Here is a 15,862-nt window from a genome sequence, read left to right as displayed (position 1 = left end):
GCCAAAATAAACCTCTTTTCTTTATAAATTACCCACCCTCAGGTATTCCTTTATAGCAATGCAAATGGACTAACCCAGCTCATATCTAAAATTTATTTACGTTCATGATCTTTTACACAGAGTGGTAGAAAAAAAGTATATTTAGAGTTTATAGAATCTATTTTTTATCATAAGCAACACTGTTCACAATGATAAATGACCTGGAAATACCCTTGTGCATGCAGGGGCACAAAGAAACATTTGTGGCCTGAAAATGTGTAACACAGGCACATTCATGTTCATGTACACACAGCATTATATTAGCCTCATTATTTTCTTTTTTTTTTGTTTTTCCCATTTCTTCTCATCTGCTTTTGACTGCTGTTTTCTTTTTATATCTTATTTATCTTCTTAAGTGGCTTTAAACTCTTCTAGAACAAGATGGTGTATAGTCAATAAATATTGCTTAATACATATTCATTACAAGTCAGCCTTTACAAAGAATGATTGCAATGAGACTTGGAACTTTTTAAACCAAAACTGTTTTGCTACTTTCTTTATACAAATATTTACAAATGTGGATAAACTGTATCTGCTATTTTTTAAGAATAAAAGACACCTATATTTGCTTAAGATTTTATTCGTTTAATACCAAAACAGCTCCTCTTTTCTCATGTCAGTTCTCTAATCCCCATTACCATCCCACCAGATATTTGAAAACGAAATTCATCTCTAGGCTTCAAACCAATTAAAGGAAATTCAGTTTTAAAAGCTACTCAAAATAGGCTTTGTAATAAAAGAAACATTTAAAAGATAAGTAAGCAATGTCCAAAAAATGAATGCATTCGTGGATTACGATCAGAAGAAAATTTTAATCACAGTGATTTGTGGTTCATGACTGTCTGCAATAACTTCTCCATTTCCAGTTTATCTAGCAAATCTTGTAGTCTTTAAAGGGCCCATATGTTCACTTTTCCCGGATTAGTTACTTCTGTTGGCTCTTTTTTATGCTTTATAACTTGGAATTCTATCTTTGGCTGTTATCTGTAAGCAGGTGACTACCTCAAACCACCTTTGCTGTCTCCTTTTTTTCTAATACTCATTGTTCTTGGTCTCCTGTACACATGTCCTGACTCAGAAGGAGAGCAATAAGTGCACAAAGTATGGCAGGAAGATGAAGACAATGAAAGCAAGATAGGGTTGAAAGACAGGAAAAGCAAGATAGGGTTGAAAGACAGGAAAAGCAAGCCTTGCCTTTGCACACAACTGCTAGATCATTGCAACTTTCATCTGTGGTAATGGCAGTATCCAGCTCTGAAATACACAGGGTCTCTACACTTTCTTATGAATAAATCCTCCAATTCTCAGGCTGGCTTTCAAAGCTCTTACAAATATGGTCCATTGATTCTCCTTCTGGGTCTCTGTTCTCACTTCGTCCCCATCATTACCTCTGTCTCAAGTGCGCTTTCCCCCAACTTGTGCCACTCCAAGTGTCACCCATCATGTAAGGCCCAATGAGCAGAGAGGATTTCCCTATCCCTTCTCTGTCACATCCTAATTTGGAAGTAAACATTTCCTCTTCTTTCACAGCATTTTGCCCTTATTTCCAGCCTAGAACTTAGCATATTTTATCATTTTCTCATCCAAAATTTAGGTATTTTTTGTGTGTGTGCATGCCATTTCCTTTCTGGTATCCTTAGAAATTTACTAGTCAGAGCTGGCTCCTGCACCCTCTGGGAAGTGAGGAGCACCTCTGCCCGGCCGCCCCTCTGTCTGGGAAGTGAAGAGTGCCTCTGGCCAGCCGCCGCACCATCTGGGAAGTGGGGAGCACCTTTGCCCAGCCGCCATGCAACCCTCCAAGTGTGAAGTGGAAACCTTGTGTGTGATGTTTCCGCCCTCCCCAAGTTTGCATTTTCGACAGTAAAATTTACTTTTAAATTAAAAAATTTAAATTGGGGAAGATTAAAAAAAAGAAATTTACCAGTCAGAGCTATACTATTAATATATTAATCTTGATACTCTTCTGTCTTCACAGAATCTAGCATGGTGATTCAAACATAAGAGGTATGAAAACTATTTATAAGTCAATGAGCAGAGAAAGGAATACATAGAAGGAGGATTGGAAGTTACCAAAAGGGAGGGATAAAGGGAATACTATTACCATAAACCATAGAAATGGTAGATCAGACAAAATCATGGAAGAGAATAATTGAAGAATTGCAGTTCAGTGAAGAACAAGGTGCTGACACAAGCAAGAGTGGGACTAAGGGAGGTGTGAGACTTGGAAGGGATATCTGTTTACTCAGACATTTGGCTCTCTCCCTCCTTCTCCTGTTCATTGCTCTCATCAGCTTACTCGTAAATCAGTGAACATATGCCTTGCTTTATTTGAAATAAATACCTAGCAGATCCATGAGAAGCAATGTCTTACCACAATGTAAAGTGGTGCCCATATTTATGAGAAAGCTATTAGGACAAATGTTTGTCTTGGGAAACCATCACACTAAAGGATTCAGAAGAATCACCTGCTGGCTATTTCTCTTCATTTCAATCTCCATTTTTATCACCCCTGCCAGGCCTCCTCTGTCTCTAGATTTTTCACCCCTTTGCTGTTGAGAATACCAATCATGCATTGAGGGTGCAAAGAGAATGCAGTGCTGAATTCCTCATTCCCTTTGCATCCATCACACCCCCTTAAACACATACACCTTGGCATGATTAGTGTTTTTCCATGCGTAAAAGCTTCTCTGGCCCCCAGCCTCAGGAATAGCAGACCCTGTGTGCTTTTAGCTTCAAATCCATCTGTTTGCTATGCTGCTCATCACACTGAATTGTGATAGTTTGATCACCACACACTAGCCCATAGGTAGGGGCTTTGTCTTAACTCATTATTAAATCTGATTCAGCGCCACAGTGTCTGGTCCTTACAGGCTCATTAAAGGGTTGTTGAGTGAATATATACAAACATGAAGGAATAAATAATAAAACAAAAAACATTTATCATTTCTCTGTAGCTTGCTTGAAAAATAGTTAGCATCTCTTACCTTTGGTTTTTGACTTACTATATAGCCTTTCGAGAATTGTCAAAGATTTTGGGATGTTATGTTTTTCTTAAATAACAGACTAAAATATATTTTTTGAAGATTTAATAAGGCAATATTATTGCCAACTGGTTTTATCACTCAGGGCATTTAATAGAAAATTTGTTAACATTGTCTTTAATTTGCTTAAATATTTATGAACATTGCTTTCAAGAGAATTTATATCTGGGGCTATTCTTTAATAGAATTCATTTTGTTGTGGTTTCAACTTTTCTGTGTTTCATCTTGTTTTGATAAATTCTGCTAGAATTGTCTTTAAATGCTTTAGAATCTGAGTGGGAGTCTCTTTGGATCCCATTCCTGCTTGTTCCACCTTCTGGAACCCCAGATTCAATCAGAGTGTTTACCACAGGGATCTTGGTCCTGATCACAATTCATCATCTTCTGATATGGAATCTAGGTAATCTGTGTCAACGTATAAGAGAAACCCGGAGAATAAGCTGTCTGCCCAACCTGGGTCTGAGAAGAGGCCATTCTGGTCTGTGAAGAAAATCTCCAGCCAGACTTCATCTTCTGGCTGCAGATAGATGACTGTGGACCCCGAAGCCACATCATGGTTTCCTGTGTTGGCGTCGAAGGTCTTTATCCGGTATTGCCCATTGTGTACCAGTCCGATTGCCAGATGCTTATTAGCCAATGTGATATCATAAGAAAAGTAATAGATCCCTGGGAAAGCACAGATGAACTTCCCTGTGGCAGGGTTGTAGTGCTCTCCCTCGTTGAAGAGGACCTTGTTAAATATAATAGGTAGTCTTTCTTCTGGGTAGCTGGTTGTGATGCCAACAGAAAAGGCGGATTTGAGCACGATGCTTCCACATCTGCAAACTCCAGGCAGCCCCGGGTCCCCTTGTTCTCCTCTGTCTCCCTTTGGTCCAGGAGGACCAATTGGACCTACTTCTCCTTTCTCTCCCTCTGGTCCTATGGGTCCTTTCTTCCCAGTCTCTCCTTGGTCCCCTTTCTCACCGGCAAGACCTAGCGGTCCAGTCTTACCTCTCAAACCTTCAGAAAGAGTATATAGTTTGATTAATAGTTCCTCAAAAGATATAATCACAAACAATATACCTACATGGTCCCAGCACATCCCAACTTTGTCTTTTCAGGCAACATTTAACAGTGTACTACTAAATAATAAACTTTTTTTTTTTTGAGATGGAGTCTCACTCTATCACCAGGGCTGGAGTGCAGTGGCATGATCTTGGCTCACTGCAACCTCCGCCTTCCGGGTTCAAGCAATTCTCCTGCCTCAGCCTCCCAAGCAGCTGGGATTATAGGCGCCTGCCACTACGCCCAGCTAATTTTTTGTATTTTTAGTATAGACTGGGTTTCACCATGTTGGCCAGGCTGGTCTTGAACTCCTGACCTTGTGATTCACCCACCTCAGCCTCCCAAAGTGCTGGGATTATAGGCATGAGCCACCGCGCCCAGCCAATAATAAACTTTTAAAACATCACTGGTGCACTAACAACAAAAATAGAAAATTTTCGTCAGAATTTAAGTCAATTTTCCTGAATATGTAAGAAATAATTTAAATCCTGACAAATTTAACATAATTAACTATCATTTTGATGATGGATCACTTGCCACTATATTATTCACATATAGGTACTGGGCACTACAGGAACCCTTCAATGAGCATGATGATATTATTTCTCAGAGTGGGCCCAGAGGGGCAGACAGAACCAGGCAAATCCCTAGAGGCTTCATTCTATTTCTATTTGTGATAATAATAAGAGAATTAATCAAAATTAGATTTGCTTATATTTATGAAGGATTTACTATGTTCCAGGGACAATGTTAAATGCTTTATTTGCATGCATTATCTTATTTAAGTTTCACAGTGACTTTATGAACTCAGAATTATTATTACTTTCATTGCAAATGAGGAAGCTGAGCCATAGAGGAGTTACTTTACTGAAGAGAAGAGAACTAGTGAATGATGGAGCTGTGGTCTGACCTCATGCCTGCCTGCCTGACTCTGGAGCCAGAGCATTTGGCAGGAACATAAATTCTTTTTTTTTCTTTTTTGAGACAGAGTCTCACTCTGCTGCCCAGGCTGGAGTGTCATGGCGCGATCTTGGCTCATTGCAACTTCCACCTCCCAGGTTCAAGCTATTCTCCTGCCTCAGCCTCCTGAGTAGCTGGGATTACAGGTGTGCACCACCACATTCAGCTAATTTTTGTATTTTTAGTAGAGATGGGGCTTTTGCCATGTTGGCCAGGCTGGTCTCGAACTCCTGACCTCAGGTGATCCGCCTGCCTCGGCCTCCCAAAGTGCTGAGATTTGGGAGTCCTGAGCCGCCATGCCCGGCCAGCAGGAGCATAAATTCGAAAGCGCATCTGGCACATAGCGAGGGCTCAACATGCTACAATAACCATAAAACAATGACTGCCACCACCATGCAGTAGCTTATTTTGTGAGGAGAAAACTGAGTCCCAGACAGGTAAAAAAAACTTGCTTCTGGGCTGGGTGCAGTGACTCACGCCTGTAATCCCAGCACTTTGGGAGGCCGAGGCGGGCAGATAACGAGGTCCGCAGATCAAGACCATCCTGGTTAACACGGTGAAGCCCCGTCTCTACTAAAAATACAAAAATTAGCCGGACGTGGTGGTGCGCGCCTGTAGTCCCAGCTACTCGGAAGGCTGAGGCAGGGGAATTGCTTGAACCCGGGAGGCGGAGGTTGCAGCGAGCCGAGATTGCGCCACTGCACATCAGCCCGGGCGGCAGTGCAAGACTCAGTATCAAAAAAAAAAAAAAAAAAAGTTGCTTCTGTACCAATGCTAGGACTAGAATCCAAGCCTTCTTAGTCGAATGATGTTTCCGGTTCATTAAAATGCCTTTTACCTTTGGGGTTGGAGTCAAGAATCTTAAATAGTGTTTGGCTCTGTCACTAAACGGTTGTATCATTTTAGGTAAGTCCCTTAATTTTTCTGAGTCTCTTTATATACAGAGAAGACATAATTGCTGTGAAAGAATTTTCACAAATTCCAAATCACCATACAGGAACATTTTCTGTGTGTCTAAATCTTTATATCTGCAGACCAACTATAGGCTAAATACAGAAAAATGGTGATCCTGGTTGAAGGAAATAAGCAAAATCAGTTTAATTTATATAAATGGTTTAAAATTTAAATAGTTTATGTATATAACACATTATATATACAATATTTTATACATATAAAATCTATATAAGACATTGATTTTGTATATGACATTCACGTTTTATATATAAAATAGATTATATATAAGACATTGATTTATATATGACATTTTACATATAAGGCATTGTTATATATATAAAAAAGCAATGATTTTATATATATAACAGCAATGATTTAATACCATCGAAAGATATCATTCAATTTTATGGCCAAATCTATTTCACAAATAGTGCTTGTATGATGATATTTCCTCAAAAAGTATCCAAATTATTAGTAACCTGTAGTGCACTTTTGTAGTCAGAGCAAATATATTGCTGATGAATTGTGTGTTTTACTTTACCTATGTATTTGTTCTTGAGAAATTTTATTAAGCTAAACTGAAATTTAAATTTTGGGCGAGTCATTTCTTTTCTGGGTTTTAAATGCTCCATTTGTAATAAGGGGAGATTGGATCTAAGTCCAATCCAAACTTACTGGGCAAAGCAGCAAACAGACCTGGGATAAAACCCCAGTTCAGCCATGGATTAGTTAGGTGAATTTTAAGAAAGGGCTTGATCTCTCTGGCTTTAGTTTCCCAATCCTTGAAACGAAAGTGTTGGACTAGATTGTTTGAGGTCTCACCCTCTTGAAAATTCCTTGAGACCAAATCATACATTCTGGGATGCAATTTTACAATGCTGTCCACAAAAAGGCCTTCACGGCCTGAAAGTTTGGATTTTCTATAGTAATGTTTGTTTGAGATGCTGAATTGGGTGATAGATAATCATGGACTAGCTGTAATAATGTATAGTTACTCTTCCTGTTTGTATGAAGAATTTGCTCACATGCTTAGGTTCCACACATTAAGAGTGGAAAGAAGGGATGAGTCATTGTCCTTCTCCCTATTTAGTCAGACATATGCTTGGGTAGAGTGGAGGATTATGGGGGTAAGAGTTAGTCTATGTTTAGGTATTGAAACTAGATCAGAAAGGATTTCTTTATAGTTCTCCATGAAATGGTTCTACCTAGATTTCTTCTTCCATGCCATTTCTTCCTTCCATCCAACCATTCATTCATTCTATCCTTCCATCCATCTATCCGTGGATCTATGCATACATACATGCGTCCATGTAAACCATCTAACATTAATTGACCATCTGCTACATACCAGTCATGGACTAGGGGCTAAGTGAAACCTGGGCATTACTCATGTAATGCCCGAACCTCAAATTAGCTGTCATTACTTATGACCTTGGATCTGCAAATATGGGCCAAAGTTAAGTTCATGAATACCTACATCCATATGATAAACTGGAATGAATGATCTTTTTCAAGAGGTTATTCTAGTGTTATCTGAAGATTTTTATATGGATATGTACCCAGATTAAATTAAATGTTAATATTATGCTACAGTAATAATTGCAACAGACCAGTGAGGGAGACAGATACTTTAATAGAAAATTTATAACTTTGTGTAATAAACTCTGCATTTCTCATTTAGGATAGGGAAGTTGGACCAAAATTATGCTTGATTGGACTTGGTTGGGGTGGATGTGGTGAGGGTATTCACCAAGAGTACGTGAATGAGAAGGCACTTGTAGTGTCATTAAAGGGGAAACAGGGAGCAGGCACTCCCAGCCAGGTTGTGCCCAGTTACAGCCATATTAAAAACACATCCCCAAATCTCCCAGGCTGTTCCTCTAGTTTATAAGTGAGGTACACCTCTCTTCATCGATCATATAGTCATTCCTACCTTTTCTTTCTGAGCTGTTATGTATCCTATGTGTGTATATTGTATTTAAATAATCTCAGGTTAGGAAAGTCATTTTGTTTTTGATGGTTTTTGAATCTCAATTTGTTTTCATTTGTAACATTAATTTTATTGCTGATTATAATTATTGCTAATAGGGTTATAGTAGATGTTAAATATGAAATGTAAAGGTCCTGACAAATAGTAAGTTCTTAGTAAGTGGTTATTATGATGATGTATTTTAATTATGTCTGTATATATTGGCCTCCCCCACATGAATGTCTGCTTATCAAGGCAAGAACAATGTCTTATGCTTGCGTTCCCAGTGTCTAGAACAGCGTTCTCAACCAGGTGCAATTTTGCACTGTCCACCTTTCTACCCAGTGGATAGCTGGCTACGTATAGAAAAATTTTGATTGTCAATTTAGAGAGGAGTGCCACTAGCATCTAGTGGAATGCTATTGAATATCCTGCAATGCACAGAATAGTCACTCCACGGTAAATAATTATTCTACCCAAATTCTCATTAGTGCAGAGGTTGAGAAACACTGGAAGAATAATATTAGATAGTAATAGGTGCACAGAAATATTATTGAATGAATAATGCCTGGATGCATGGATGAATGAGTGGATCTATGAATGTGGTGGTATAGTTAGCCTCATATATGGTTAAAACTGTAGCAGTTCTGAACATTTAATTTAATCTGAATGCATATCCACATATATGTCTTTAATATTAGAACTACCTCATGAAACGAATTACCAATGTCTAGTTTATTATATGGCTTTTGCTAGTCACAAATTTAGCTGTGACTCATATTTGCAGATCAGAATTTAATAAGTTATAACATTTACTGAGTTTTTATCACATGGCAGTTATCCTGTGGAAGGTTTTGCATGTACTCTTTCCCTTAAACTTAACAATCACCCTTATTACCACCAACTTACAAATAAGGAAACTGAGCCTCTAAGAGCATATGTGGCCAAGGATACTAGATTAGTAACTGAAAGAGCTAAGATTTGAGCCAAAGTCTTTCTGACTCCAATGTTTGTTTGTATAGCCACTACATTATTGCTTCCAGACCCAGTAAACTAAAAGCAATATATAACTATAATCCTGATGTTATTATAGGATTTCAAGAATATTCATAATTATGACTCAGTTGTAACTTATATTCACAGGTGTTACCCTATGGATGTCTTTAAAAACTTACATTTTAGCTCCAAATTAAAGCTTCTTATCTGATGTTGAAGCTTTCCCTAAAGGTTCTTTATCTATTATTGTGCAATGTTCATAGATTTGGTAATTGATTTGCCAGATATTATCCGCATGGCAAATTCAGAAATGAATTATTATCCAATAATCTGAATATGTTTTATGATTTTGTTTTACAGAACTCCAGTAAATCAGGTGTGATGATTGGAGTTATATAGAATTTTTTCCTTCCTATCTTTTGTCCCAACTTTTATGCTCAGCAACTTGTCTTGAAAGATTGATTCCAAATCCCTTCCTCTTTTAGAGTTAACACAGCCTGTCTAGAATTTCAATTTGGTTTACCCTGAAGGACTGCAGAATCTGGCAAGCTTCCCGGACCAACTTATTTTGCGAGGAAACAAAGTGAAAATTACTGAAGGACTAGTGGGCAATTGTGTTGCTGTAAAGAGCTGTAAAAATCTGCTTTTTAGCTGCTATGTGTCAGGTGGGAAAGTGATGAGCTAGGAAAGGTAGGCTTTACAGTGCTATTGTCACTTCATCTGTGAAAAATAAAATTTAGAAGCCCTTTATGTATCTTTGTTCAGGATATTCATGCTGAGCAGGATGGCATCTATGCATCTGGCTCCTGGTTTTTGCCTCTGCTTAATCTGTCCATTTCCCCTTCTGTCCATCTCTCTGTCTGTCCATCCATGCGCTTGCACATCCAGCCATTGCCTGCTGGCTGCAATAGCCCAGTACTTCTGGACATCAGATGTTTGAGTCTGGCTCTGGCAGCTACTAGCAGTGCACATCCACCCCGGTCCATTCTCAGTAATTCATTTAATCACACTGTGGCTCAATTTTCTCATCTATAAGATGGGATAACATTCAGCTGAAAGAGTTGTCATTGCAGTGAAATAAGGATGCAGCTACAGAGTTTAGGGAAGCATCTGAAGCCTAGTAAGGGCTCAGTAAGTTACGATTAATGAAAGTACAGAAGGGGTTTAAGGAGCAATTCCCATTAGAAAAAGTAACAAAGAAAGGGGAACAGTTTTAAGGTGGGGGTGAAGGAGGGTGTTTTATGCAACTTCTCATTCATTACCTGCAGTTCCCTTTTCACCTTTCTCTCCTTTCCTGCCGTCTCTACCATCTCTTCCTGGAAGGCCGATGCGACCATGGGGCCCAGGGGAACCATTTGCTCCAGGGGGCCCTGGAGGTCCAGGCAAGCCAGGAATGCTGCAGATATACCTGGGGGAGTAGTTCTCTCCTTTCAACTGATTACCCCGGGGTTGTCCACTGGCACAAATGGCAAAACTTGTAACATAGAGCAAGACAAACATCTTTGGCTCTGGAAGAGAAACACACAGACGTAAATGAACTTTCTGTGTTGGGAGGGGTGTGGTTTGGCATGATTGAATCAGTTTGAACAAGAGAATGTGCATTTGCAACAAATCACTCCAGTGTTCGTCTTTCCAGACATGTAAAACACTGTTTACCTTCATAATTCCATTGAAAATTATCAACACATTATTGATATAGAATCCTCAGTGCCCTACACGGGAGTTGGTGCAGATGAAGAATTGGTTAAAAACATTTCAAAATAAATCACTGCATTTATTCTTCAGAAATCAATGATGGATTTAAAAATGGCATTTTCTTTTTACAAACATAGTGCATTTTTTAAAGAAAAAAATTTAGACCTGGAAATGAAAAAGATAAACATCAACATTATTTTTACCACCTTGAGATTTACATTTTAGTATATATATCCTTCCAGTCTCTTTTGTCTATACTATGGAGAAAGTGATACCATGCCATTTCTACACTTCCTTAACTTCTTTCACTTGACAATGTATCATGAACACCTTCTCATGTCAAAATTATGTGTGACATTAAAAAATAATTGCTTTTGTCTCTACTATCTTTTATGTACAGAACCCCCATTATAGATATTTAGGTTGCTTCCAAAGTTCTCCCAATATGAACATCATGCTAGACATCATTCTAGCTAATCTTTGCATGCACCCATGATTGTTTTCTTAGAATTTATGGACTATTTAAAGCTGGAGAAAAGAGGAGGCATTTTCAGGAAAACCATGGTTTTCACTTGGTAATCATGTATAATGCCAATTAGTGTTAATTGGGGTACTGTGCATGTCCTGAGGGGAGGTCTCAAACTTTAATTTAAAATCTGCAGGATATAATGTCGTGGTGTCCCATTAAGCTGTTAGCACTGGGGCTCAATTAAAGAGCTGTGTGAAATTAAGCCACGCATGGTGCCTGTGCCCCAAGTGAAGCAGGCAGCAGGTCTCTTCAATTCTGATCTAATAGGACTCCCCCATAAAGCCTAGAAGCTCAGAATGATGAGTCATTTATTAGTATGGCACTTTGGCATATAGGCTGAAGGTGAGATGGAGAGTGGTATAGATTGGAGATACCTGATTTTTTAGGCTAAATGGTCCTTAGTATTAGCAGTTTTTTAAAGGGAAGAACATATACAGGTGGTTCTGGGGTCATGCAAATGAGTTGTGTTTGGATGGTTGGACCCATGCTTTAACAAGAAATCTATATAGTGCTTGACCTGGTGTATACTCTCCCAAAGGAAATCATCACAAAATGTGGGGAAAGCAATCAGATGAAATTTCTTTTGTTTTTTGACAGCCATGTGAGAAAATTGACCAGGCACACATCACCACTTTTGTGGTACCCATGGGGAAATTGCAACATCTTGGAATTAGACCCAGAAAATTGCCAGAGCGTAGGAATGACAAACTAAGAAAAACACAGTGTGCACATGTGATTTTGAAGTAAGCTGATTCCTAGAAATCTTATTAGTGAAAAACCAAAGCAACTTATCCGAACTCAGGCTCTGTAACTTTGACTAAATCTTGGTGTTACTAGTTGAAAAAAAAAAAGCAAGGAGAACATTTTTGCCATGCCCTGTCTGGTAGACATTTTTGTATGCCCTTGTCATACAGCACAAATCCAAAATTATTGATTCTATTGCTCAACTGGAATTAAGGCACTTTCTGACAAGCCCAGTGCATTCAATACAGGCCTTCCAAAGGAGCTTCAGATGAAAAAAAAATATATGGAAAGAACATTCTGTTCACACCCCCTGCCACAGTAAGAACAAGATGCATTGATTAAATTAGCAGTTCTCTCTCCGTTGTGAAAGGCTGATTAGAGGAGGCTTTGAGAAGGAATGAGAAAGTGGCCCTGTCTGGGACTTCATCTTTAAAATGTGGGGGAAGCAAGTCTGATCTCAGGAGCTTTAAAGCCCTTCCTCAGGGGGCCACCTTTCTGGGACTTGCCAAGCTCTTTGGGGCCTGGAATCACGATGGGCTACCTGCCGAGGAGGCCGCCTGGAGATTCAGGCTGTCCTGTGATTTCTGGTGATATGTGTTCTCACTTATTTGTCTGCTACTTGTGTGTTGAAATTTAGAATCATTTCCCACAGAATTGTTGCTATTTGACAGGAAGAGAAGATGGGCTAGAGTAAACCCAATCTTAAGTTCTTGTCTTGTTACCATTTAAAATGGACATTTAATTTTTCAAATTGCTGTTGGTGCCTAATCACTTAAGTTATTAATCTATTCTGTTTTCTTTAAAGAATTTTAATACATATCCTGGGAGGGAACGTGTTCAAGTAGGTCATGTTTTTGCTGTGGTGATACATGATGCAGGCCTGGAGCGTGCAGGGCCCATTTTGCTGTGGTGATGGAGCAGGACAGCAATAAAGTCACCCCCCTCCCCAGAAAAAAAAGGCTGGGTGTGGTGGCTCACGTCTGTAATCCCAGTGTATTGGGAGGCTGAGGTGGAAGGATTACTTGAGCCCAGGAATTTGAGAGGAGCCTGGGCAACATAGCAAGACCCCATCTCTACCAAAAAAATAAAGGTTCATAGAAGATAGTCATAATGAGGCTTTTAACTAGACATGGGGTGCAAGGCTATTGGCTGAGGCCAGAGTTGCTTTCAGGAGGGACCTGAAAGCAACTGCAGAGAAGTTGATTTGGACAGTGGCTTCTCAGACATGGTGATGCAGGTGTGAAAGCCTAACTATGCCAATAGTCACAGGAACAGTCTGTGAAGAAGAATGTGGTAAGGGTCTAGTTGATGGTGGGCAAAGGAAGCAGAAATTTTAAAGATGTGATTGGAAGAAACGATATTCAGTATTGCCAATAGCCAGGCAAAAAGGAACTCAAGGAATAAATTAAAACAATGTAAACAGATTTATTCATTGAATAAATAGATTGCTTTTATGACAAGTGCGGAAGAATACTACTGCCTGTATAGGAGTCTAAATGCTTCAAGCATTCCCAATTAAAACTTTAAAAAAGGCACTCAAAGTGATTATTCCGTAAAAATCCTTATCAGAATTGAGGAACAGGCTGGGCACGATGGCTCACGCCTGTATTCCCAGCACTTTGGGTGGCCAAGGTTGGAGGATCACTTGAAGTCAAGAGTTCAAGATTAGCCTGGCCAATATGGTGAAACCCATCTCTACTAAAAATACAAAAAGTAGCCCTGCATGGTGGCGTGCACCTGTAATTCCAGCTACTCGAGAGGCTGAGGCAGGAGAATCACTTGAACCCTGGAGGTGGAAGTTGCAGTGAGCAGAGATTGTGTTGCTGCACTCCAGCCTGAGCAACAGAGCCAGACCCTGTCTCAAAAAACAAAAAGAATTGAGGAACAATGTGTTGTGGTGCCTGATGCATGCTAGTGGCACGATGGTGACTGGTCAGTCAAGTACTGGGATTCAGTTGATGCAAGAAGACCACGGGGTGTGCATTATAATGGAAAAATCACAGTGGGATCACGCTGTTTGGTTCTTCATTGCACCTAAGGGCCCAAAGCTTCATGTTACATGGTGCGATGGTCTACAAGGCCCTCCTTATTTCCCTGACTTCATCTTCTATTCTCCTCACATTGTCAGCTCCAGTCACACTGGATTCCTTGGTGCTCCTCAAAGACACTAGGTGTGCCCTGCCTTAGGGTCTCACGTGTCTCTTCGCATTGTCTAAATCCCTCTTCACCAAGATGTCTATATAGCTACTTCTTCATCTCCCTCTTCACATCGTTGCTCAAATGGCATCTTGTCACTAAGTTCAACCCTTATCACCGTGCTTAACACTGCAATCTGCCTTCTTCTGCCCATGACCTTCCTTTTATCTGCTCTACATTTTTTCTATTCTTTATTGTACTTTTCACTTCTAACTCAGTAGCTAATTCCTATCTTTATTTTATATCTATATTTTTCCTGATAGAATGTAAGCTACATGAGGGCAGGGATCTTTGTTGAAGTCATTGATGTGTCCAACCACTTACAGCAGGGCTTAACCCAAAAAACATGGCTGGAGAAAGAGGAGAATTTTGTGGGGAGGTTTGAGCTTTGTGGGGGAAAAAAACTGGTGAGAAATTATGAAATATGAGAATATTACACAAGAAAGAGGGAGGTGGGGTTTGAAGAAATCTCCCTGGAGCCTATGTGTCCTTTTTGCAGTGTTTGAGAAATACAAATACAAAACTTGAGTTGTTTTAATTTGACATAGTCTAGGGTGTTTAAAAATATTTTAAAATTAATTTTTTATATAGGGAATACATGTACATTTCATAAAATTCAAAAGAAAAAAGAGTATGCAACGATAAGTCAATTTCTTCACCTCCCTTTGAGTCTTCTGGATACCCAGGTTCCCTCCCTAGAGCTGATCACCTGTGCGAGTTTCTTGAGTGTCCTCCTTCCCCATGTTGGCATCCCATATACAATGTTCTGTACGTTGCCTTTTCACTTAGTTTCCATATGAGTATTTATAGCTTCTGTATTGACACCTATATGTGTAGAGCTGTCTTGTCCTTTTTTATTTAGTGGCTAAAAAAATCCATCATATAGATGTGTTTGTAATATTTAACCAGTTTCCTATGATGGGTATTTGGACTATTTTCTTTCTTTTGCTGTTATAAGCAATGGTGCAATGAATCTATCTATCTATCTATCTATCTATCTATCTATCTATCTATCTATCTATCTATCATCTATCTATCTTAATCTACAAATGGCTTATGACATGAGCAGCAAATAATTTCCCCCAGTTTGTCCTTTGTCTTTCCTCATGTATTTTAAAATATTTTTACCATGAAAATATTTTTTGAGGTTCAATTTATTGGGTTTAGAAGGCCTTCACCACTTTAAGGTCCTGAAAAGAATCCTTGTGCTTTTCTTTCAATTTTTTTGTTTCATTTTTTCACATTTAAAAATTTGTTCCATCAGAATGTTTCTGATAAAAAGTGTGAGGTAGGGATATAACTTTATATTTTCAACTCCTTTTATTGAATAATCCACTCTTTACCCACTCCCCCACTGCCTTGCAGTGAACTTGATTATTTTGACTGGGAATAAATCACGTAGGTCACAATTTCATAAACATTACAATAATTTTTAACAGCTTTATAAGGATATAATTTGCACACCATAAAATTTACCAAAGTGTACAACTTAATGTACATCACAATCCAATTAAAGACTATTTTAAAACTCCAAAAAGAAACCTGTACCCCTTAGCTGTCACTCCACATACAATATGCTTTAAAACATTGAATTGAATTCATGAGTAGCTGGGACTACAAGTGTGTGCCACCACACCTGGCTAACTTTTGTATTTTTTAGAGAGATGAGGTTTCACCAAGTTACCCAGGTTGGTC

At 39.0% G+C, this 15,862-nt stretch overlaps 1 protein-coding gene across 6 annotated transcripts in view; it reads right to left on the bottom strand.

Moving 5' to 3' along the window:
* Positions 1 to 79: 79 nt before the first annotated feature.
* The window catches only part of C1QTNF7 (C1q and TNF related 7), a 106,382-nt gene continuing 90,599 nt past the window's right edge, over positions 80 to 15,862 (bottom strand). For all 6 annotated transcript variants that reach the window (XM_011513772.2, XM_047449566.1, NM_001135170.2 and 3 more), the window contains 2 exons: positions 10,266 to 10,511; positions 80 to 4,079 (listed from right to left, as the gene is read on the bottom strand). In XM_011513772.2, coding sequence (XP_011512074.1) covers positions 3,448 to 4,079; positions 10,266 to 10,511 — 878 coding nt within the window. In that variant the 3' untranslated portion in view covers positions 80 to 3,447. The remainder of the gene's footprint in view (positions 4,080 to 10,265; positions 10,512 to 15,862) is intronic.

The sequence above is a fragment of the Homo sapiens genome, chromosome 4 (genome assembly GCF_000001405.40).
Source record: "Homo sapiens chromosome 4, GRCh38.p14 Primary Assembly".
Taxonomy (NCBI): domain Eukaryota; kingdom Metazoa; phylum Chordata; class Mammalia; order Primates; family Hominidae; genus Homo; species Homo sapiens.
The sequence above is the reverse complement of the archived record's forward strand: the minus strand, read 5'-3'. Positions and strand labels throughout refer to the sequence as shown.